The sequence below is a fragment of the Homo sapiens genome, chromosome 7 (assembly GCF_000001405.40).
Source record: "Homo sapiens chromosome 7, GRCh38.p14 Primary Assembly".
Classification (NCBI taxonomy): domain Eukaryota; kingdom Metazoa; phylum Chordata; class Mammalia; order Primates; family Hominidae; genus Homo; species Homo sapiens.
Genome location: NC_000007.14, coordinates 139885038 through 139909851, shown reverse-complemented (window position 1 = coordinate 139909851; position 24814 = coordinate 139885038). Strand labels below are relative to the sequence as shown.

General features: G+C 42.2%; 1 protein-coding gene across 9 annotated transcripts in view, besides 1 other annotated feature; it reads right to left on the bottom strand.

Annotated features, from left to right (window-relative positions):
• The window catches only part of TBXAS1 (thromboxane A synthase 1), a 242052-nt gene that overhangs the window by 110442 nt on the left and 106796 nt on the right, over positions 1-24814 (bottom strand). The window lies entirely within an intron of this gene.
• Positions 21468-21762: a silencer, noted in NCBI's record as "tiled region #12519; HepG2 Repressive non-DNase unmatched - State 24:Quies". NCBI's record gives its function as "represses a minimal TATA promoter and a strong SV40 promoter by Sharpr-MPRA in HepG2 cells {active_cell/tissue: HepG2}" and the evidence as "EXISTENCE:reporter gene assay evidence [ECO:0000049][PMID:27701403]".

Here is a 24814-nt window from a genome sequence, read left to right as displayed (position 1 = left end):
GACATGTTTTCGGTGTATGAAATTATACTTTCAGGGATGTAATTTGATCGCTGGTGTATCCAGCTCAGAGCAGTAAGGAACAGATTTTAAAGGGGAAAGTCACACTGAAAAGCAGCCAATTTTACTCTAGCACTTATTTACCAAGAACTTTTCATAAACCCAAATGATATTAATTGTTTTAAATTCTTCTCCTTCTCATTAACTATGGAAAACAATAAAAATATTTGTCTGGCACATATTAGGCACTTGGAAAACATTTACCTGAGTCATCGTATTTTCCAAAATTGTCAGGAAAATCTTTGAGAAACAGGAATTCAACAGATGTGGTACAAAGAAAGAAAAGAATACTAACTACTTTTTGTGTTTGTTTGTTTGCTTTTACTGATTTTAACCAAGAAAACAAAAAACAACTCAATAAGGCCATAAACCAATTCTTTTATAAAATGTATGGTGAGGGTCATGGAGTCTTTTGAGAATCTAATGAAAGCTGTGGACACTTAACAGCATTCTGCATACAATTTGAGAAGTCCTTGGATCTCTCAACCCCCCTCCAGAGCAATGTTTCTCAAATATACAATGTGCTTAAAAGTCACCTTGGCTTGAAGAAATAACAGCTGAAAATTTCTGAATTTTGCAAAAGACATAAACCTACATATTCAAGAAGCTGAGTGAATCTCAACTCAGATGAACCCAAGGAAATCCATGCCAAGATACCTCATAGTTAAACTTCTGAAAACTAAAAAAGAAAGAAAAACATCTTGAAAACAGCCAGAGAGAAATAATGTATTATCTATAGGGAACACCAGTTCAAAGGACAGCAGGTTTTTTTTATCAGGAACCATGGAAGCCAGAAGGAAGTGGCACATTTTTCAAGTGCTGAAAGGAAATAGCTGTCAATCACAAGTCATCTATTTGGTGAAAGTATCCTTCAGGAGAAAAGTGGAAATAATGGCATTCTCTGATGAAGGAAAACTAAGAGATTTTGTCACTCACATATTTACCCTTAAAGAATGGCTGAAGGATGTTCTCCAAACAGAAAGGAAAGGGAGATGATAACAGAAGAAAGTTTGGAACTTCAGAAAGGAAAGGACAATGAAATGGATAAAAATAATAGACTATCCTTCTCAGGAGTCTCTTAAATCATTCTTGATGGTTGAAGCAAAAATTTCACCACCATATGATGTGGTACTCAATGCACTTAGAAGATATACTTAAGACAATTATATTTTAAAAGTAAGGAGGCTAAAAGGTCCAAAATGGAAGTAAGATTTCTACATATCACTCAAAATGGTAAGGCATTCATACTCATAGATTGTGATAAATTATATATGTGTATTTACACAAGAACTAAGAAAAACTATTTTAAAATTATGATAAGCCAAAATGGAATTCTGAAAAATGTTCAAGTTATCCACAAAAAGGTAAGAAAAATGAAACAAGGAGCAGAAGGAATAAAAGAGAACAAATACACTACTATAATGGTGAATATAATGTAATGACTAGATAACAATATATCAAAATGTGTGGCTGCAGCTAAAGCAATGTGGAGAGAGAAATTGATAGCACTAAATGCTACTTTAGAAAAGAGGAAAGATCTTAAATGAATCGTCTATGCTCCCATCTCAAGAAACTAGAAAAAGAAGAACAAAGAACCTTATCAAGCACAGGAAAGGAAATAATAAAAAAAAAAGTGCAGAACTCTATGAACCTGAAAACAAAAACCACAGAAAAACTGATGAACGAAAAACTGGTTCTTTGGAAAATATCAATAAAATGGATAAACCTCGAACAAGACTAACAAAGATAAAAGAGAGAAGACACAAAACACCAACATCAGGAATGAAATGGGATATCACTACAAACACTGCAGCTACTAAAAGGATAAGGGTCTACTACAAACAACTTTAGACTAATATATTTAAAAACTAGAAAGAAATTGACCAATTCTATGAAAATTACAAACTATTAAAGCTCAATCAAGATGAAGTGGGCAATCTGAATAATCTTACAACCACAAAACTACTAATAATTTTAATTAAATTTCAAAATTTAATTATTCATATTTTTTATTTGAATTCATAATTTAAAATTTCCTGAAAAACACATCTCCAGGCCAGGATACCTTGGAGTCTCTTAAATCATACTTGATGGTTGAAGCAAAAATTACACCACCCTATGATGTGGTACTCAATGTACTTAGAGAGTACAATTCTCTAATGTAGAATTCTCAATGAAGAATTCTACCAAATATTAAAAGAAGAATTAACACTAATTTTACAATATCTTCCAGAAGATAAAAGAGGAGGGAACACTTCACAACTCAATTTATGAGGACAGGTTTACTCTGATACCAAAACCAGCCAAAGATACTACAAGAAAAGTATAGACCAGTATCTCTCATGACCTTAAACACAAAAATCTTCAACAAATCAAATCTAGCACTATATAAAAAGACTTATATATCAAAACCAAGTGGTATTTATTCTAGGTGTCCAAGGCTGATTCAATATTTTCAAAACAATCAATATAATTCACCATATTAACTGCCTGAAAAATAAAAAATTATGTGATTATATCAGTTGACATGAGAAAGCATTTGACAAAATCCAGCACTTGTTCATGATAAACACTCTCAGGAATAGAGAGGAGTTCCTCAACTTGATAAAGGGCATCTACAAAAACCTTACAGCTAATGTCATACTTAATGTGAAAGACTGAATGCTTTTCCTTAAGATGGGGAACAAGGCAAGGATGTCCTCTTTCACTACTCTTGTTTGACATAGTATTGGAAGTTCTAGCCAGTGCAATAAGGCAAGAAAATAAATGAAAAGCATATAGACTGAAAAGGAATAAATAAAATTGTCCCTATTTTGAGATGACATGATATCTACAGAGAAACTACTAAAAAATTTAAAAACAATCTTAGAACTAATAAGTGAGTTCAGCAAGGTTGCAGGATTCCAGATCAACATACAAAAAAAAGTCAATAGCATTTCTACATGCTAACAATGAACATGTGTAAACCAAATGAAAGCACATTGCCATTTACAATGTTGATGAAAGAAATAAAAGAAGAACTAAGTGGAGAAACATATCATGTTCATGGATTGGAAGACTCCACAATGTAAAAATATCAATTCTCCCAAAACTGGCATATCAGTTTAATGCAATTCCAATCAAAGTCTCAGCAAGAATATTTGTAGGTGTAGACAAACTTATTCCAAAACTTATATGGAAAGGCAAAGAACTTAAAATAACTAAATCAATTTTGAAAAAAGAATAAAGTGGGAGGAATCAGTCTACGAGATCCCAAAACTTGGCTGTAGTCGTCAAGACTGTGTGGTATTGGCAGAAAGACAAACACATAGATCAATGGGACAAAATAGAGAACCCAGAAGTAGACCCACATATATATGCTCAACTGATAATTTTGACAAAGATACAAAAGCAATTCAATGCAGGAAGGGTAGGTTTTTCAACAAAAGATGCTAGAGTAGGCCAGGCATAGTGGATCGCGCCTGTAATTCCAGCACTTTGGGAGGCCGAGGCAGGTGGATAACTTGAGATCAGGAGTTTGAGACCATCCTGGCCAACATGGTAAACCCCATCTGTACTAAAAATACAAATAACTATCTGGGCATGGTGGCACATACCTGTAGTGCCAGCTACTCAGGAGGCTGAGGCAGGAGAATTGCTTGAACCTGGAAGGTGGAGGTTGCAGTGATCCAAGATCAAGCCACTGCACTACAGACTGGGAGACAGAGTGAGAAAAAAAAAAAAAGATGCTAGAGTAATTGGCATCCATAGGCAAAATATGAACCTCATACCTTATGCAAAAAATGAACTCAAAATGGACTACAGAATTAAATGTAGAATGTGAAACTATAAAACTTTTAGAAAAGTAAAAAAAAAATCTTTGAAAATTAGAGCTTGGCAAAAAGTTCTTAGACTTGACACTAAAACATAATCCATAAAGGACAAAAATCAAAAAGTTGAACTTGATCAAAATTAAAAATTTTTGCCCTTTCAAAGACACTGTTAAGAAGATGAAAAGACATGCTACAGGCTAGGAGACAATATTTGCAAACTACCTACCTGACTAAGGACTTGCATCTGGATTCACAGCAGAATTCTACCAGACATTCAAAGAAGAATTGGTACCAATACTTTTCACACTATTCCACAAGATAGAGAAAGAAGGAACCCTCCCTAACTCATTCTATGAAGCCAGCATCACCCTAAAACCAAAACCAGGAAAGGATGCAACCGAAAAAGAAAACTACAGACCGATATCCTTGATGAACATAGATGCTAAAATCCTTAACAAAATACTAGCTAACCAAATCCAACAACATATCAAAAAGATAATCCACGAACATCAGGTGGGTTTCATAACAGGGATGCAGGGATGGTTTAATATACGCAAGTCAATAAATGTGATACACCACATAAACAGAATTAAAAACAAAAATCACATGATAATCTCAATAGATGCAGAAAAAGTATTCAACAAAATCTAGCATCCCCTTATGATTAAAACTCTCAGCAAAATCGGCATACAAGGGACATACCTTAATGTAATAAAGGCCATCTATAACAAACACACAGCCAACATAATACTGAATGGGGAAAAGCTGAAAGCATTCCCTCTCGGAACTGGAACAAGACAAGGATGCCCACTCCCACCACTCCTCTTCAACATAGTACTGGAAGTCCTAGCCAGAACAATCAGACAAGAGAAAGAAAGAGAGAGAGAGAGAGAGGGAGAAAGAGAAAGAGAGAGAGAGAGAGAGAAAGAAAGAAAGAAAGAAAGAAAGAAAGAAAGAAAGAAAGAAAGAAAGAAAGAGAGAAAGAGAGAAAGAGAGAAAGAGAAAGAAAGGTAGGGAGGGAGGGAATGAAGGAAGGAAGGAAGAAAGAAAGGAGAGCATCCGTATCGCTAAAGAGGAAGTCAAACTGTCACTGCTGACAATACAATCGTTTACCTTGAAAACCCTAAGGACTCCTCCAGAAAGGTCCTGGAACTGATAAAAAAAATTCAGCAAAGTTTCCAGATACAAGATTAATGTACACCAATCAGTAGCTCTTCTATACACCAACAATGACCAAGCAGAGAATCAAATCAAGAACTCAACCCCTTTTACAATAGCTGCAAAAAAATAAAAATACTTAGGAATATACCTAACCAAGGAGTGGAAAGAACTCTACAAGGAAAACTACAAAACACTGCTGAAAGAAATCATAGATGAAACAAACAAATGGAAACACATCCCATGCTCATGGATGGGTCGAATCAATATTGTGAAAATGATCATACTGCCAAAAGCAATCTACAAATTCAATGCAATCCCCATCAAAATGCCACCATCATTCTTCACAGAATTAGAAAAAAGAATTCTAAAATGCATATGGAACCAAAAAAGAGCCTGCATAGCCAAAGCAAGACTAAGCAAAAAGAACAAATCTGGAGGTATCTCACTATCTGATTTCAAACTATACTATAAGGCCATAGCTACCAAAACAGCATGATACTGGTATAAAAACAGGCATATAGACCAATGGAAGAGAATAGAGAACCCAGAAATAAACTCAAATACTTACAACCAACTGATCTTCGACAAAGCAAACAAAAACATGAAGTAGGGAAAGGACACCCTTTCAATAAACGATGCTGGGATAATTGGCTAGCCACATGTAGGAGAATAAACTGGATCTTCATCTCTCATACAAAAATTCACTCAAGATGGATTAAAGACTTAAACCTAAGACCTGAAACTATAAAAATTCTAGAAGATAATATTAGAAAAACCTTTCTAGACATTGGTTTAGACAAGGATTTCGTGACCAAGAACCCAAAAGCAAATGCAACAAAAACAAAGATAAATAGCTGGGACCTAATTAAAGTAAAGAGCTTTTGTACGGTAAAAGGAACAGTCAACAGAGTCAACAGACAACCCGCAGAGTAGGAGAAAATCTTCACAATCTATATATCTGACAAAGGACTAATATCCAGAATCTACAATGAACTCAAAAAAATCAGTAAGAAAAAAACAAACAATCCCATCAAAAAGTGGGCTAAGGACCTGAATAGACAATTCTCAAAAGAAGATACACAAATGGCCAATAAACAAATGAAAAAATGCTCAGCATCACTGATGATCAGGGAAATGCCGATCAAAACTGCAATGTGATACAACCTTACTCCTGCAAAAATGGCTATAATCAAAAAATAATAATTAAAAAAACAGTAGATGTTGGCGTGGATGCAGTGATCAGGGAGCACTTCTACCCTGCTGGTGGGACTGTAAACTAGTACAGCCAGTATGGAAAACAGTGTGGAGTTTCCTTAAAGAACTAAAAGTAGAACTACCATTTGATCCAGCAATCCCACTACTGGGTATCTACCCAGAGGAAAAGAAGTCATTATTCAAAAAAGATACTTGCATGGCATGTTCATAGCAGCACAACTCACGATTGCAAAATCATGGAACCAACCCAAATGTCCATCAGTCAATGAGTGGATAAAGAAACTGTGGTATATATGTATGGTGGAATACTATGCTGCCATTAAAAGGAATGACATAACAGCATTTGCAGTGACTTGGATGAGACTGGAGAGTATTATTCTGAGTGAAGCAACTCAGGAATGGGAAACCAAACATCCTATGTTCTCACTGATATGTGGGAACTAAGCTATGAGGACACAAAGGCATACGAATGATACAATGGACTTTGGGGACTTGGGGGTTGGGGAGAGTGGGAGGAGGGTGAGGGATAAAAGACACAAATATGGTGCAGTGTGTACTGCTCAGGTGATGGGTGCACCAAAATCTCAGAAATCACCACTAAAGAACTTACTCATGTAACCAAATACTACCTGTACCCCCAATAACTTATGGAAAAATAAAATAGAAAATGGGCAAAAGACATGAACAGACATTTCACTACAGAGGATATACAGATGCCAAGTAAACACATGAAAAGATGTTTAACATTATTAGCCATTGGTGAAGTTCAAATTAAAACCACAATGAGATATCATTTCACATCTATCAGAAAGGCTAAAATTTTAAAAGAATAGTGATAACATCAAAGGCTGGCAAACATGTGGAGAAAGTGGATCATTTATAAGTTGCTGATGTGAAGGTAAAACCATAAAGCCGCTTTGGCGATTTCTTATAAAACTAACCACATACTTATGCTATGACCCAGCAATTGCACTCTTGAACATCTGTCCCAGAGACGTGAAAACTTACATTCACAGAACACATGTACATGAATGTTTACAGCAGCTTTGTTTGTAATAGGCAAAAACTGAAAACAATTCAAATGTTCTTCATTGGGTAGATGGGTAAACAAACTGTAGTACATCTATACAACGGAATACTATGCAGCAATTTAAAAAAGAACAAGCTATTGTTACATGCACAAATTTGGATGAATCTCAAGGGAATTTTGTGACTGAAAAAACAAATATCATTAGATTACATGCTGTATGATTCTGTTTACATAACATTCTTGAAATAAAATTATAGAGATGGAGAACACATTAGTGGTTGCCAGGGGTTAGGGATGGGGGTGGTGATGGGTGCATGTGGCTATACAGGGGTAGTTCTAGAGAGCTTATGGTCATAGGATAGTCTTTATCTTGGCTGTGGTGGGGGTTACACAGATCTACAAAGGTGATAAAACTGCATAGAACTACACACACACACACACACACGAGTGCATATAAACCTGGAAAAAATATGATAAGCACTGTGGGTCATACCCAGGGTCATTCTCCCTGGTTTTGATAACGTACTATAGTCACGCAAGAGGTTACCATTGGGGGAAGCTGGGTAATGGGAACATAGGACTTCCCCATACATATTTTTTTCAACTTCCTGTCCATCTATAATTATTTCAAAATTAAAAATTTTTAAAAAGTCACTGGGGAGCTTAATAAACTCTAAATTCACAGCCAAGCTCCCTACCAAGACTAATCTAGCAGGCCTGGGTAGGGCCCAGGAATCTGATTTTAACCAGCTCTCAGATTCTGATGCAAGAGGACTCTTTCCATACTCTGAGAAATGCTGTCCTAGGGCCATGGTTTCCAGCCTCGAGGGCTTGTCAAAACCAACTGCGGAGCATTCAGAAATAATAATGCCTGGCCCTACCCAGACCTACCAGACCAGAGTCTCTGGGGTGGGACCCAAGCACCTCCTATTTTAACAAGCTCCCAGGGGATCCTGATGTGATTGACAGATTGTGGACCCAATCTGATTGGGTGAAAACCTGCTCTATATTTAACCAAAGTTCACACCCATTCTCATTTCCCTAAATTCTTAGATCTAAAAGGAAAGCAATTACACTGTAGGGCACACGCAACTTTTGGTAATATATTTGTATTGATTTAGTTATCATAATAATCTTACGCATAATCTAGATTTTTTTAAAGGAACAAAATAATACTTCTACTTTCAAATGAAAGTTGTCCTTCCAAGTAGTCACCTTGGGAGTCTTCCTGCTTCTTTTTTTTTTTTTTTGTAGTAATATTGCTAATGCTAAAAACAATTTTGCAACAATTCCTTTAGAATTGCTTCAGAGCTGGTTTATGAATCTCGTGAGAAAACTGGTCCCATTTTACATGTAAATTGTGTAATCTTGTGAATTTATATTTACAAAAACTCTCATCTGTAGTTTGAGGAGCTCCTGAAAAGACCTTGAATGGAGAAAAAATGTAAGGGAAGTGTGTCCTAGGCACACATAGCTTTCGTTTTGGGTGTCTGGGATGGCTCACCTGCTTTTGTCTGCCCACTACATCTTGAGGAACCACCCTCGCATTCCATGCAGTTCTGAAGGAGCTCTCAGTGATAGAACCCTGCCCCTCTGGTCATGGTGGTGGGCTCACCACCCAGGCATGGCCAATCCTAGTATCTCATCTCCTTGGCAACAGTGACTGGTCCAAGGGGTGGACACATGACCCACTCCAGGCCGGTATGGATCCTTCATTGGGATTTCTACATGGATGCTGGGGTGAAAAGCTCTGACTTTCTCCTGGAGCTGCTAAACTGAGAATATATTAATCTAGGGCTGATGGCAGCCATTTTTGTACCACATGGAGAGAGCCGGTCTGCAGAAGGAGCTAATAGAGACCAGCAGAGATTTCAGATAGACAGACTGCCTACAAAGCACAATATAGAGTCCAAACTTTCCTCCTGCAGCTCTTCATTCCATCCTCCTAGCTTACATTAGTTAGTTTGTGCTAAAGTTAGTTTGTGTTGGGTTTCCCATAATTTGAAATCAGGAAGTCCTAACTAGTATGGTGCCCCTTTTTCTTCTCAACCTTGTGAATTCCCAGTGCCATTCTGCCTCTCAAAGCTTACTTCCCTAGAAGGGCCTGATCTTGGTATTGCACAAAGGTGTGAATGTGAGGCAGTGTCTTCCTGCTCCCTGAGGTGGCATGGGTCCTGGAGATTAATATGCAACAGCTTAGCAGGTGGGATCCGGGTTCATCCAGCCATACCACTCACACAGAAATCCGTTCCAGGCGCAAATTTCTGAAACTCTCTGGGCCATGGCTGAAATATGGGAGTGAAAACTAAGTTATCTCTGTAGTTTACTGGAACTGTAAATCCTATAATTCCTACAAATTTGAAAGGAAATTAAAGTATGGGGTGTTTGAATTTTAGGTCTACTTCCTATAGGGTGCAAAGAAACTTCTCATACTAGTGAAATATTTGCAGAGGTTGTAGATTCTTCTCAAACCTTTGAGATTAACAACAATCGTTAGCATTTATTTTGAGGGTTTACTATTGACCAGGCTTCATTCTAAGTGCATTGCCTGTATTTCCTCATGTAATTCTCATAGAAAATGGATGAGGACATTATTTTATCCACTTTTCAGAATAAGAAACTGAGACTTAGAGAGGCAAAGTCACTTGCCCAAGACAGGGACTTGACCCCAGCCCAGGTCCTTGGTGGTGAGCATGCTGTCATCTATTCCAGTGACTGCTCTTAGCTCGGGTGGCCTGTCTTTGAACCCGCTCCAGTGCTGGGTAGGTGTGCAAGGGAAAGCAGGCAGGCTCCCAGCTGTGCAGACTGTGGCTTTCAAAGGTGGAGATTTAGAGCATATTCTTGCTTAATGGACCAGAAAACCCCCAGCCCAATTAAAGAGGTAAGGCCTTGGTTCACTCTAATCCAAACTTACATATAGACTCCTTTCCGGGCAAGAAATTCTTAACCAGTTATTCATCTACATTTAGCTATGCAATTAAGAATTCACTTATTCAACTCCAAAGCACCTGGTTGAAGAGAAAATGTAGGCAAATCAGTGAAGTATTGTGTAGACAAAAATAACCACTTGTTTGACTTGTTTAATTAGTGGTTTTCTCTCTTTTTTGAAACTGACCAGTCAGTTAAACCAAAATAGTTCACAGCCGCCTTCTGGGAACTTAAGTAGAATAGACTGTTGGGATTAGCCTGGGGGCTGCCTGGCCTTGTTCCAGAAGGCCTGCCCCTGTTAGGGGTGACCGAGCTATAGACTGTTCCTGGTGGTGGTGGGCAGGGGGTCACCTACAGGCACCGACATGAAAAAATGTCCAAATGACCCAGCCAAATGGAAAAGCACATTGTAAAATAGTATGGGGAGCTCTGTTAATAAATTATAGTCGGTCTTTCTATTAACTAGTCCCTTCAGAAAGCATTTATTGAGCACATACTCTGTGTCAGACCCCTGGCTTACAGGGCATAGATCTGGAGCAGGAAATTATGGGGCACTGTCCTTTTCATCTTATCTATTCCTTGAACGTTCAGTGTTTTATAATGAGCGCATGTGACTTCTGCAATGAAAAAAAAAAAGGAGAGGGAGAATTTGTCACTGGATTGGTCCCCCGAGACTGTCAGAGGCAGAGTGGCGGCTGGCAGTGCCACAGTTGCAGGTGTCAGAGAGTCTTAGGAACTTGGGCTCAAGGCTTTGTCCTGTAATTTAACAGCTGTATCACCTTGAGCAAATCAACCTTCTTGAAACTGTTCCTATGATTAAAGAGACCGTTATGAGGTCAGATGAGAATAGTTTGTCCGAACAGTAAAGTTTAATGAAAATGCTGGTCATGGTCACCTTCCATGGGCCACACCCTGCTGCTGCCACTTTGTCAGGGACGAGGAAGCTGAGCGAGGAAGTGCCCCAACGGGGCATCAGGAGGCCCCTGACAGGAGCCCAACACCCCCCACATCAGCAGAAGGAACAGAAAGGCATGCACAGGCCGGGCGTAGTGGCTCACGCCTGTAATCCCAGCACTTGCGGATCACCTGAGGTCAGGATTTTGAGACCAGCCTGGCCAACATGGCGAAACCCCGTCTCTACTAAAAGTACAAAAATTGCGCCATTGCTTTCCAGCCTGGGTGACAAGAGCAAGACTCTGTCTCAAAAAAAAAAAAAAAAAAAAAAAAAAAAAAAAGCCATGCACGTTGGGAAACTTCTGATTTTCAGGTAGAACTGATGAGGGCTTTCAGCTCCTCTGACAACTGCTAAATGCCAAGCATCTGAGAACTTCTTGTCTCCGTGACAGTTTTATTTCCCAGCAGGCTGAGGATGCTAACAGGGTAGCTGCTGTCCTACCCTCAAGTCTGACCTTTGCCATGGAATGTCCATGTGGAAGCGGCAGGAGGCTCAGTGAGGAAAGGGGTAGACGCTACTGCAGATCACAGTTGTGAGTGTCTGAGATGCTCAACTTCCAGAAAGTTCAGAGAAAGTTAAGGAGAAGTCCAGTGCTGGGAGTACCTGGGCATTTGACTCACAGGCGCTCCTCCGGGGCTGGATGGTCCACAGGGTGCCATGGAGAAAGCAGGGTCCCCAGAGTCCTGGGGCTCTGTCCCTGCTTGGCTCATGGAGTGTCTTTCCCTTTTGGGTCAGCTCTCCCGTCTGTCATTAGAGCAAGAGGCTTGAGTCAGCTGAATGACAGAGCAGACTCAGCTACCAGGGAGAGTTTTCTTGAGGAGCCAGTGACACAGTCATAGGCCATGGAGTCTGGAGTTGCTTTCCCAGGGCTCCTGTCTGTCACTCTGAGCAGGGTCAGGCAACATCTGCCCATGTTACCCTCAGAGTACTCATGCCTGGGGTCCACCCTGAATTCACAGAGCCCTGCAGAGATCAATGGACCGAACCAGCGCTTTCTCAGCCCCTCCCCTTTCAGGAGTTTGTAGAGCCTGTTCAGCAACTTTCTTTTGCCCTTTTCAGGCTGGTACAATCCCTGGTCCTCTTCCTGGCCAGACTTTGGACCTCCCACTCAGAGGTTTCTGTCTCCATCATTCTGACCTGCTGCTTGTCCACATGTGGGCCCCAACTCCACTTATCCACCTAGGACTTGGTAAAGTGCAAATCTGAGTATGCTGCTTCTTTACTGAACACCCTTCAATGGTTTGCCAAGTCTTTAGCATGTGGCACATGATGTCCTTCACACCCTGCTCCCTGCCTTGTTCTTTGGCCTTGTGCCTCCTTATTCCCCCCGCCTGCCTGCCCCCGGTCCCCCTCCCCACCCCACCGCCAAGAGCCAATCCTGATCATACCGACTGAAACCCTCCATGATCTCTCACTCCCATGCCTTTGCACATGCTGTTCCCCCTGCCTTGCCTGGAACGGCTCCTCTTTTCTTGCCTGGTTGACTCCTAGTGGTTCTCTAGTAATTGTAATTTTTTTCCTGACTGTCTTTCTGCTCGTTTGTGAGTGGTGGAAACACATCTTGTCTTCTTATCTTTGATGTCTAGTGTTCATTATGGTGTTAAGCATGCAGTGGGAATTCCATGATGTCAACGCAGTGTGCTGTATTCCAGCTCCAACGTCTAATGCCAACTGGCTTCAGGCCCTGTCTCTCTCGCCTGGACCACTGAGGAGCTCCCAGTGAAGCTCTCTGTCTCCAAACCAACCCTCCCGCCAAGGCCAATCACCTTTGTAAAACAGAAGCTGACTGTGTCGTTCTATTCCCTATAAATCTCTAGTGGTTCTCCATCATTTGAAGCAAGTTTAAGCTTCTTCACTTGTAACCAAGCAGGGGCCCTTCAGGAGCTCCTGACTTCTCTCCTCACCCCATTCCTCTTATACCTGTGTTTCCAAACGTTCTCAGTTCACGGTGCCCTTAGTGACTCAGTAATGTCTTCGTAGCGCTCCCCAGGCCAAAAGAAGAACCCCACAGTCTCATTTCTAAGTAGATAAGTTCAAACAACTTTATAAGTATACATGTTCTAGCAAGTTAGTGGACATTTGAAGAAATAATACACATAAACTGAAAGCAGTTCCTACAGTGCCTGACAGATGTTGCTGTATTTGTCACGAATGTGTAAAATACCATAGCCCAGGAAGCCCCTGTGAGTTCACTGTGGCACCCTGGGGTGTCTCAGCACACAGTTTGGGAACCACAGCCTTTCATTCTTGCTGTGAAAAAGTTATTTATGGTTCCCCAGATGTGCAGTATTCCCCCTGCTCTGCCTCTTTGCAAGTATTTACCCTCTAAAGTGCCGGCTGCCCTCTTGTTAGTTTGGAAAACTTCAGACAGTCGGGTCACCTGCCCCTCTTTGTGAAGGCTTCATGGACCCTTCGCTCCTTGTAGTTTCTGTGGCACCTGGTCCTTTCCTCTACTGACCTGCATCACCCTCTGTTTATTGATAAGCTCCTGATCGCTCTGCAAGTTCTCTCAAGACAAAGCCCATCTTATCTGTCCGTGCATCCCTGAGAAGCTAGCAGAGCGCCTCACCCTTAAGAGCAAGTGGAAGGATGGTTTTAAGCTGCCTTTCCAGGACTGGGAAATCATTTTATCCTCTTGGCTTCCCTATTACTCCTCCTGGCAGAAGGAGCTTTCAACTCTGAAGCCAGACTTGAAACCTCAGAATCCTTTTTTCTCTTTATCCACATTTATCTTGCTTCCAAAATTCACCCAGCCCCTGGTCATTTTCTAAAACTTGGGGCCTGCTCTATTTCACTCCTACCACCCTGGAGAGGTGCCCCCTGCAGAGGTGCCCTGTTGGCTCCATCAGCCATGGGCCTGCCTTTGTGGCTGGCCCCAGCCAGTCTCAGGTCTAGCGGGGCAAAGAGTCCTCTGTGGGGAAGCTCAGCATACAGAACCCTCAGATCACCTCCCACTTCAACCTGGTGATTCTGCCAAAAACTTCATTTGAACTAGAGTTCCCATGATGTGATGACATCAAGACATGTCGTCCAGATCCCCCTTCTGGGAAGGACTTGCTGTCCAGCAGCCGAGACTGTGGTCAGCAGGGAGCCTCCAGCTGTTAGCTCCTTCAGGGCCAGCCTCAGCTGCTGAGATCCATGTCACTGGGGTCACCCCCTTCCTGGTAAAGCCCACATCCAGTGGCCGGGCTGAGTAGGAACACAGAGAGGTGGCATTTTGTCCTACTGGGGGATGACTGACAGCTTTCTCCTCCTTCCCTTCACTGATCCCTAGTAAACATCTTGCCCCTCAAACCCCATCTCTAGAAACTGACCTGCAAGACATGGCTTTAAGCAGCTTACAGGCCATTAGCAAGGGTAACAAAAGGATAACAAACATGTCTTCGCCTGGCAACGAAGGCTTTCCAGTGTGTGATGATGACTGGCCAATCCATCTGTGTCCCTCTCTCCAGCCACAACTTCCATTCCCCCAACCATTCCCACCTCAAGGGCTTTTCTCTGGCTGTTTTTACTGAGTGGAACATTCTTTGCCCTCACCTCCCCCTTATTCATTCTTCAAGACCTACTTCCTCCTAGAAGCCTTCTCTGCCTTCACTGGTCCATGATTCTACCCAGAATCCTGTTTCCTGTTCTTTCTGGGTTTCCTGTTCTTCTGGGTTTCTTTCTGGGTGTCCTGTCCTTCTCTTGTAGAAGTCAGCCACTATACTACCTGGCATTCTTGAGCAACTTGGCCCATGTCTGGGTTTTTCTCCTAAATTAGATGTCAGCTTTCTTTGGGAAAAGAGACATGAATGATACATTTTCTGGAGGGGATGGGTAGTCTCTCCCACTGCCATGAGCTCCATGCTGTACACGTAGCAAAGACTGAAATGTCTGTTGAGTGGACAACATCTGGAGCAGGGCCAGCAGTGAGCACTTCAAGACATGGGGAAACCATCCCCTCTGACTTTGTGCCATTGGAAGACATGGACATAGACCCCCAAAGAGTGTGGGAAAGGGCAAAAGGAAGAAGGGGGACACACCTTCCAGAAAGAATGGAGAACCGATGGTAGAAAGAGCATTGCATTTCGAGTTACAGGATGGTGAATTTGGACCAATCCCTTGGATACCTGGGTCACTGTCTCTATATCTGCTAGATTTCCCAAGTATCAGGGGAATAAACGCAGGTCTCACTTCCCTTCTTTAGGGATCTTCTTGCCTACTGCTGGGAATATGCTTGGTTGGTCCCTGGGTTGGTTTCTAAGTGGTGAGAGCAGGGGGTTAATGAGGGCTCCAGTCACACGAGCCAGCCTGAGGGAGGCCAGAGAACCAGCTCCACCAGGAGAGTCCACAAGCATGAAGAGACCCCACTGTGATTCTCCATGCCCTGCCCTTCTCCCACACCATCTTCTGCACACTTTCCTAACCACCCCAACCCAGCCACACCCATGGAAAACATGCAAAATGCTTGCTCTGCAAAGGACTGGGTCTGCAGCAATGGTGTGGTGCGTGGGTGGTGGCACGGTAGTCCCAGGAGGCCTCCTGCTGCTAAGGAAAGCCCCCAGGCTTGGCAGCCTGGAGAGGCAGGGTCAAGCTGTGCTCTACCTCTCAAGAATGGCGCTGGGGCAGCTATTCTCCACGCTTTCTGGAAGCAGGCAGGAAGATAGCCTCCCCCCTGGCCCTCAGCTTCTTCATCTATAAGATGAAGTGGTCCTTCTCATCCTGGTGAGTTATGACTCTGTCAAGCTACAATAAAGCTTTCTCCAAAACAGAGCTATGGCTAAAGGAGAGAACTGGGCAGCAAGGGGGAAAAATATCTGAAAGAAACCTGTAATGATAAACCTCCCTACTCTATTGAATATACCCACCCATCTAATTTATTCAGTTAATAAAACTTAGTCCCCAGAGGGGGACAGGCAGAGGTAAGCTACAAACCAATCTGCCAGTGTGAGCATGGGTATATATGTATATCTCATAACAATAAAAAAAGAGTAATTAAGAGATGTATTGAAGTGTGCAGAAATCCTGAAGGACACTGAAGATTACAATTCAAGTTACTGTTCTTGGTGCAAATGTAATTCAATGGGGAACAGATAAATAAAAATAAAGAAAAAACAAATTCAGAACAGATGTTAGGCAAGCAATTTTTTTCACAGTAAGAATCATAAACATGAAGAACAGCCTATAAGGCAAAGTTGTTGATGCAAACAGCATCAAGCTACTAAATAAATAGTTCGATGGCCCTGCAGGGACAAAGGAACATTAAAATAGTCATTTGGCTGTCCCTGAATATTTTTGCCCACACGTTATGCCCAGGCATGTATATTCGGGGGTATTGAAGGGAGCTGTGTGTGTGTGTGTGTGTGTGTGTGTGTGTGTGTGTGTGTGTCTATTCCATAGAATATGTGCAGGACATATATTTGTGAGAGTACATGGCAAAATCATCTCTCCCCAAATGATGTGTGGGCTTAGAACAGGAATACACGGTCTGGGAAAAAGCTAATGTCACTCCTGAAAAGACAGTGAGGCCAGGGGAGGAAGCCCAGTGCCATGGGAAGAATGTGCTGTCCAGGACTAGGTATAAAAAGCCCAGATATGCAACTCTGAAAGAAGAGAAAATTTAATGGCAAAAGAATTTCAGACACAGTGGGAGAGAAATCAGAGGCAGGGAAAAAATAATAAAGCACTGATCATAATACTTTAGAGATGGAGGGAAGCTTCAAGATGATCATTCTAGCCCAACCCCCTCATTTCATAGCTAGGAAAATGAGGCCCAAAGAGGGGAGAGGACTGGATGATGTGTGCTGTCTCCCCTTACCCAGGCGGAGGAGTCCCTGGAGACATGAGGGTGAGAGGACCCATGTGCAGGACTCAAGAAGCTCACCCCGAGCTGGTGAGGTATGGGGCTTCTGAATTCGGCAGACTCCCCAAGATGCAGGCTGGCTACAAGAACACCAAGGAGCAGTGGAATCCCAGTTGGAATCCCTGATACTTGGACAGTCTGCCCTGGGAGGGCTCTGAGAGCTCCTTTGAGTCTCATGTCAGACCTGTGAGATAGGTAGGTGCTCAAGTTTTTTTGTTTGTTTTGTTTTGTTGTTGTTGTTGTTGTTTGTTTTGTTTCTGAGACAGAGTCTCACTCTGTCGCCCAGGCTGGAGTGCAGTGGCATGATCTCAGCTCACTGCAACCTCCGCCTCCCAGGTTCAAGCTATTCTCCTGCCTCAGCCTCCTGAGTAGCTGGGATTACAGGTGCGCGGCACCATACTAGGCTAATTTTTGTATTTTTTTAGTACAGACGGGGTTTCGCCATGTTGGTCAGGCTGGTCTCGAACTCCTGACCTCATGATCCACCCGCCTCGGCCTCCCAAAGTGCTGGGATTACAGCGGTGAGCCACTGAGCCTGGCCTCAAGTATTTTTTAAAGGGAAGAAAATGATAAATGACTCATTCATTCTAGTCCCATCAGTAGGGATAGCTGAGCTAAGACCAGAACCCAGATCTGGCTCCTAATCCAGTGCTCTTTCTGGTACGGCCAGCTGACCCTAAGAATGAGGTTATGGGAGGTATCAGCTCTTCGGGAGTAGGATATGAGGCAGTAGCCCAATAAGACTCCAATTAATGACTTGGGTGAGTGGAGCCCAGCTAGTGTATCAGGAGAACATGTCCCTTATCTTCTCTTTTATCTTTTGGATCCCAAGGTGGCCTTACACAGTGTAATTCAATTTTTTACTTTGATGGGCTAACTACTGAATTGATAGAGCATAAAAGCCACTGATGGGGAAAGAGTATAAACTCCCCTTATCCAACCCTCTATTTTAATATGAGACTCTCCCCCTAATTCCTTTTATTTGTCTCCAGTAAAATAGTACCATTACCCAAATTAGCCAAATAGCAAGACCTTCCTGTTTGAAGTTTCCTTGGAGACAAATCTGACATGAAAGACATGTACTTAGAGATGATTCTTCTGTTCACGCAACAGATATTTACTGAGCATCTATTATGTGTCAGTCACCATTCTAGGCACTGGAAATAGCAGCACAAACAAGAGAGCAAGTCCCTACCCTCGTGAAGTTTGCATTCTACCAGGAAAGCAGGTCAACCAACAAATAATTATGTTACGTATTGTTATGGCAAACGTCCTAAGGCAGGACTGTTTGGAATGTTGAAGAAACAGCAAGAAGAGGCAGTGGAATGGAAAGAGCTTTGGATTAATAAAAAGAACCTGTGCAACTCTGCTCACACCTCTTACTAGCCACACGCCCTTTTCATTCTAGTCACTCATGTTTCTGTATGATTGAGGATAATGCAACTAGCCCGGCCAAACTCTCAGGGATGTTATTGGGATGGCCATGGGAGATACTATATTGGAGGGACATGATCCACACTGAGTGCTGGAAAACACTTTCAGATTATTAGCAATTAATATGTAAGTGGCCTTAGGGAACAAATATATATATATAAATAAATAAATATATATATATTATAATCATAGGGCAAGATGGATAGCCCATAGAGTTCTCCCACAGGTCCGTAGAGGTCCCATAAAAGGATGCCCACTGCAGGGTTGCTTGCTGAGGGCCACTGGGTATCTCCTCCTGGGACAGTGGACAGGTGAAGTAGGTACAGGCATCCGTGGCATGTCAGGCAGCCATGGGAAGCAGCAGACTCAATGGGAACTCTGTGCTGGACCTTGAAAGCACAGTGCTAAATGAAAAAACTAAGGAATAGAATGAGATCTACGGCAGTACTATTGGCATAAACTAAGGATAATATCCACGAAATGATAATGCACAATTTGCAAGAACATGTGAAAAAAAAACACATTAAACACAATTGGAATGGTTGACTATTGGGGATGGGAAGGGGAATGAGAGAACACTGGGAATAAAAGGAAATAAATAAACAAGCAACACAGGCAGCAGTGCGTTCCCAGCCTCTCCATAGCACTGCAGGATAAAAACATCCCCCAAAACATCAACTCAAAATGGAGGTAATTAGTAATTACTGGTTGTAATGTTGATAATTCACAATGGTGAAGTAAACTATTTCTATTAATGGTTGTCTTTTATGGGGAATTCTTTAGGAGTAAAATGCTGGTATTTATTAGATCAGTGTTTTCTCTCAAAGCCTGTTCTCCATATCCTAGTCCCAAGAAATACTCTGGGGGGAAAAATGTTCTGTGGTCAAATAAAGACTGCATCCTGGCCGGGCGCGGTGGCTCACGCCTGTAATCCCAGCACTTTGGGAGGCCGAGGCGGGTGGATCACGAGGTCAGGAGATCGAGACCATCCTGGCTAACAAGGTGAAACCCCGTCTCTCCTAAAAATACAAAAAATTAGCCGGGCGCAGTGGCGGGCGCCTGTAGTCCCAGCTACTCGGGAGGCTGAGGCAGGAGAATGGTGTGAACCCGGAAGGCGGAGCTTGCAGTGAGCGGAGATCGCGCCACAGCACTCCAGCCTGGGCGACAAAACGAGACTCTGTCTCAAAAAAAAAAAAAAAAAAAAAAAAAAGACTGCATCCTAAATTTCTCACTTGGAGATTGTCGAAGGACATTGCTGCATGAAAGGTTCGGAGTCTTTCTACACTGAAGAGACCTGTGTTCCTTTTGCTATTCCCCATGTAACAATTATTACTGTCAGTGGAAACGATGGTCTCAAGGACACACTGCGGGAAACACCCCATTCGATTGTTGGAGGGTGGGAGGTGGAGATTCCGGATTCCAGGCCTACCCTGGAGCTCCCATTCCTCTCTCCTTCCTAATGCAGCTTCCTGATCCTCTGAGTGCTTCATTCCTAAGTCACCTTGCACCCAATGTCTCCTTAGCAGCTCTGCCATGGTCTGAATGTTTGTATCCATCCCCCCAACAGATTCATATGTTGAAATCTTAAACCCCCAGATGACAGTATTAGAAGGTGGGGTCTTTGGGGGACAAATGGGTCATGAGGGCAGAGCCCTCTTGAACAGGATTAGTGCTCTTATAAAGGAGGCCCTAGGGAGCTCTTTCACCTCTTCCACCACGGGAGGGTGCAGTGAGAAGGCACCATCTATGAACCAGAAAGTGAGCCCTCACCAGACAATGAATCTGTTGGTTCCTTGATCTTGGACTTCCCAGTCCCCACAACTATGAGAAATAAATTTCTGTTATTCATAAGCCACCCAGTCTATGGCACTTTGTTATAACAGCTTGAACACATGAGGATGAGGACAAGCTCCAACGGATTAAGAAAAAGATAAAACTATTTTGTCTTTGCCCTGTTCAACCTCTTAATTATGGTGGAATCACCATGTTGTCTCCAGCATTTGAAGTCAGCCTCAGTGATTAATGTTGACTCATCTCTTACTTGTTACAATCAATGACTTGCTGCATTTTTAGGACATTTTCTTTTCTTTTTTTTTTTTCCTTTTTTTTCGACAGGATTACAGTGACATGATCTCAGCTCACTGCAGCCTCTGCCTTCCTGGCTCAAGCGATCCTCCTATCTCAGCCTCCAAAGTACTTGGGACAACAGGCGCACATGCCACCACACCCAGCTAATTTTGGTATTTTTTGTAGAGATGTGGTTTCACTATATTGCCCAGGCTGTCTCAAACTCCTGGGCTCAAGCAATCTCCCCACCTCGGCCTCCCAATGTGCTAGAATTACAGGCACGAGTCACCACACCCGGCCACTACAGGACACTTTCTCTATAAAATTCTCCTTCTTTTCCTTCCATTTCTGATAATCTAAATCACTCTTATCTCTCTCACCTGTGCTATCAGAATGTTTTTTGCTAGTTTTTTTTTTTAACTCAATTCCATCCTCCCCCTGCACCCCTTCTCCACTCTATACCTGCACAACTTTCTTTAAATAACCCACCTCCTTAGCACCAGTCCTGAGGTTCTCTCTCATCTGCCACTGCCAAGGTTGTCCTCTCTACTTGTGCCCCAAACATCACATTTTCCTAGCACACATTTGGCCTCTACTCTTCTTCTTTCTATCTCAGCCAAAACCTCTGAACTTTCTCCCATGCATATGTGCCTGGATACACTCTTCTCCACAGGCCACCTGCCACCTCTCCTTTTTTGGATAGGTATAATGTGAGCTAACCTTTCCCAATGAGCACACACTCAGTGCAGAGACTGTGGGGTACAAGAGGGGAATTCAATATGTCATGAACAGTCATGAAGCAGGAGTGTATGCCCTGTGATATAGTGGAAAGACTGTGGGAAAAAAACCCAGAGGAAAAAAATTGAGAAGCCACCAATTGCAAGAACAGGATTTTGACAAATTACTCAAGGTAGGAAGCCCAGAGATCGAAGGGTCAGTTCCAGGAAGAGAAGGAACAGTGTAGACCCAGGGAACAAGGAAGCAGAAGTCAGTAAGAGTTTCAGACACAGAAGACAAAATTTATGTGAGACACAAAGGCCACAGTGAGCTGGTGGGAAAGAGGAAACTTGGAGGGGGCTGAAGGCAGAACCGAAAGGCAGACACATAAATTGTAAAGGGTTTGGCAGCAAGGAGTGAGATAAGAGGAGAAGGAGCTCTGGGTGAGGACTACTGGGAATTTATTAAAGCAAACTGAATTTATCGTGCAGTGCAAGCATTTGTTGATAATGGGGTCGGTTTGGTTAAAAATGCGCTTACTGGCCTAGCCAAAAGGAAGTTACAGGCAAAGTCACTGGGGTCATACATTCCAATTAGAAATGTGTGGTTCACCTTGACCAGTTGGGATCCAGGGCACAAAGGGAAGTGTAAATTTAACCTGAGCTCACTCTCAAGGTTTGAAAACAAGAAGTAATGGCCACATAATCGTGGTGAAAAGGGGACAACAAAGCATTGCTATAAGATGTCCTCCAAAGGTGAAATGGTATGGTCACTATGGAAAACAGTATGACGGTCTTCAAAGAGCTAAAAATAGATTTACTCTGTGATCTGGCAATTCCACCTCTGCATATATACCCAAAAGAACTAAAAGCAGGGTCTCAAAGAGGTATTTCCACATCCATATTCAAGTAACATTATTCACATTAGCTCAATGCTGGAAGTAACACACTCCGCCATCTACAAACAAACGAATAAACAAAAGGCAGAATAGGCTTACAATGGAATATTACTCAGCCTTAAAAAGGCAGTAGTTCTCCCATGTGCTACAACATGGATTAACCTTGAGGATATTATATTAAGTGAAATAAACCAGTTACAAAAGGAAAAATACCATATGATTCCACTTTATTGAGGTACTTAGAGTAGTCAAATTTGTAGAGACAGAAGGTAAAATGGTGGTTGTCAGGGCCTGGGGGAGGAGGGAAGGGAGAGTTAATGTTTAATGAGGACAAAGTTTCAGCTTTGCAAGATGAAAAAAATTCTGGATGTGAACGATGATGATAGCTGCACGACAATGTGAAGGTACTTAATGCAACTGATCTATACAATGAAAAATAGGAGAGTACATTTTGTGTGATGCATATTTTAACACAATAAAAATAATGTCCTCCAGCCAAATGTCCTTCAGGTTATTCTCAATACCTAGATCTAACCGAGAAGTGGGAGACCATCAATTCTGAAACCATGGGTCACAGTGTTCCTCCTGCTGGCCAGGTTGTAGAGGCATGAAAACCCATCCCACCTACTCATATGAAACCTTTCTCCTATGGGTGTTAGCTGTGGGTTCTCGGGCCCTGAAGCCCTGGTACTCATGAACAGGTATGGATTTTGAGCAGGGCAGAACTCAGGATGCTAAGTGTCCATTCCAGATTGGAGATAAAGCATCCTTGTGGGCTCCTACACAGAGGAGGACAAAGAGCTGAGGCTTCTTGCTCATGGGATGCTCCAAAGAACCAAAACTCTAGCAGAGAAGGCTAAGCCTTTGGGGGAAGCAGCTAACAATCTTTAGGCTGGAGTCTTTGGGAAGAACCTAGTGGCCATGTCAATCATCAGTCTCAAGCTGTGGTCTGGCAGTGAGATGAAGAAGTGAACTTGAAGAGTTACAAGCAATCTTCAAAGGCAAATGGAAGAGCCATTCAACAGTTGCCTCTTTGTGGTGAATATGCACTAGGCATTACATTAGCCACGGAAAAGATGGAGGTGGCACAAGCCAGGGAGTACCTGGATTTCCTTCCTGCAGTAGCTCTGTTGTGAAGTGCAGTAGTTTTGATTCAATCCTGGATGCCCACATCTCCAGTAGGCCAAGTAGTATCAAGAGGTGCTGGGGGGTGTTTTAACAAAAAAGACCACAATTGCCTCATCAAACTAACATGCTATGACAAGCCATTCACCAGCCATAGATTCCGGGCAAAGGTTAATAGGTTCCTCTTTAAGCCGAGGCCAAAAAAAAAAAAAAAAAAAAAAAAATTCATCTGCAAAGAGTGCCTCCTTAGTGGTTAATGTGGGGAGCCTGGAGAACATGTCAGAGAGTCAGACCTTTATAAATAGGCCAATAAACTGACAGCCTTACTCAGGGTGGAAAAACTTCATAGAGTGGGTTGCAAAATTCTTGCAGCTTGAGGGTGAGATGGAGGAGAGGTTGTTAGGAGCACGGTCTTGAGATACGAAGAATAATCAAAGAACTTATTTTCGTAGTTAAGTTTATATTATCTGCCCTAGGCAAGCAGGCATCATAAAACTTGGTGGGGCCTTGCTAAGGAATTACTTTGTGTGCATAGCTATAGAAATGTTACACATAAGAGTGATCAGGAGTAATTAGAATGCATAGTAAACAACCCAAACTTTAAAAGATTTAAAGATCCTAAGGAAGAAAGAAGAATATGTTCCAGTTTAAAGGCTAACGTCAAACATTCAAAATTTAGTAGAATTTCAAACGTGTATGCGGTGGTGTGTGACTTTTTTTGCTTGAAAGTTCACACTAGTATCTGGAGTTAATTTGGTTTTAGACATTTAGATTCCTTTACCTTTTGCCCTATGTGAGTAACAAGATTTAGAACTGGTTTTTAATCAAGCAAGGATTTCTAAGAACTTGTTTGGAAAAAGTTCCTCTGCTCACAAAATAGTGATGAAAGAGGAACTTTAAGCTCTAAGTGAATTGGGAACTCATTGCTTCTTCAAATTTAGTAATAATTTCTTTTAAATTTTGAAATCAAAGATGGCTTGTCTTTCTTCTTTTTAGATAGAATAGGAATGCTATTTGCATTCTCAATCAGAGTGAAGAGCCCTAAGAATTGGGTAAATGTGTGCACTTTTTGAGACTGTCTGTGCAAAGTTCTTGACAAAAGATATATGCATACAGCCATGTGCTTTCTGGACCTGCTTCCAGATGGGAGAATGCCTTGACAAATGTCACAGTGATTCATGACTGTTTTACATACTCTATTATGCATTTTGGGTTGAACAACTTGGATTTGTTGCAGGTACGCTTCAATTAAATGTGGAATTTATTATTTGAAGATATTAGCTCAAAATAGAGCTTTTATGCAACTTTAATTGAGACATTCTATCGATTGGGAACACATCTGTGCAGAGCTGTCACTTACAGGATAAAGAAGGTACTGATGCCATATTTGATAGTTACTAATGAGGAATGAGTTAGTTCCCTTCCACCTTGAACGTGATATACAGTTCTCCATGGTAGATTTTGGATGTGAATATCAAGGAAAGCAAAATTAAAAATCTGTGGCTGACGCTCCAGCCGCTGCAGTCCTCTCTCCTTTCTAGCCAGGTGCTCTGTCCCTCATCTGCAGGCCCAG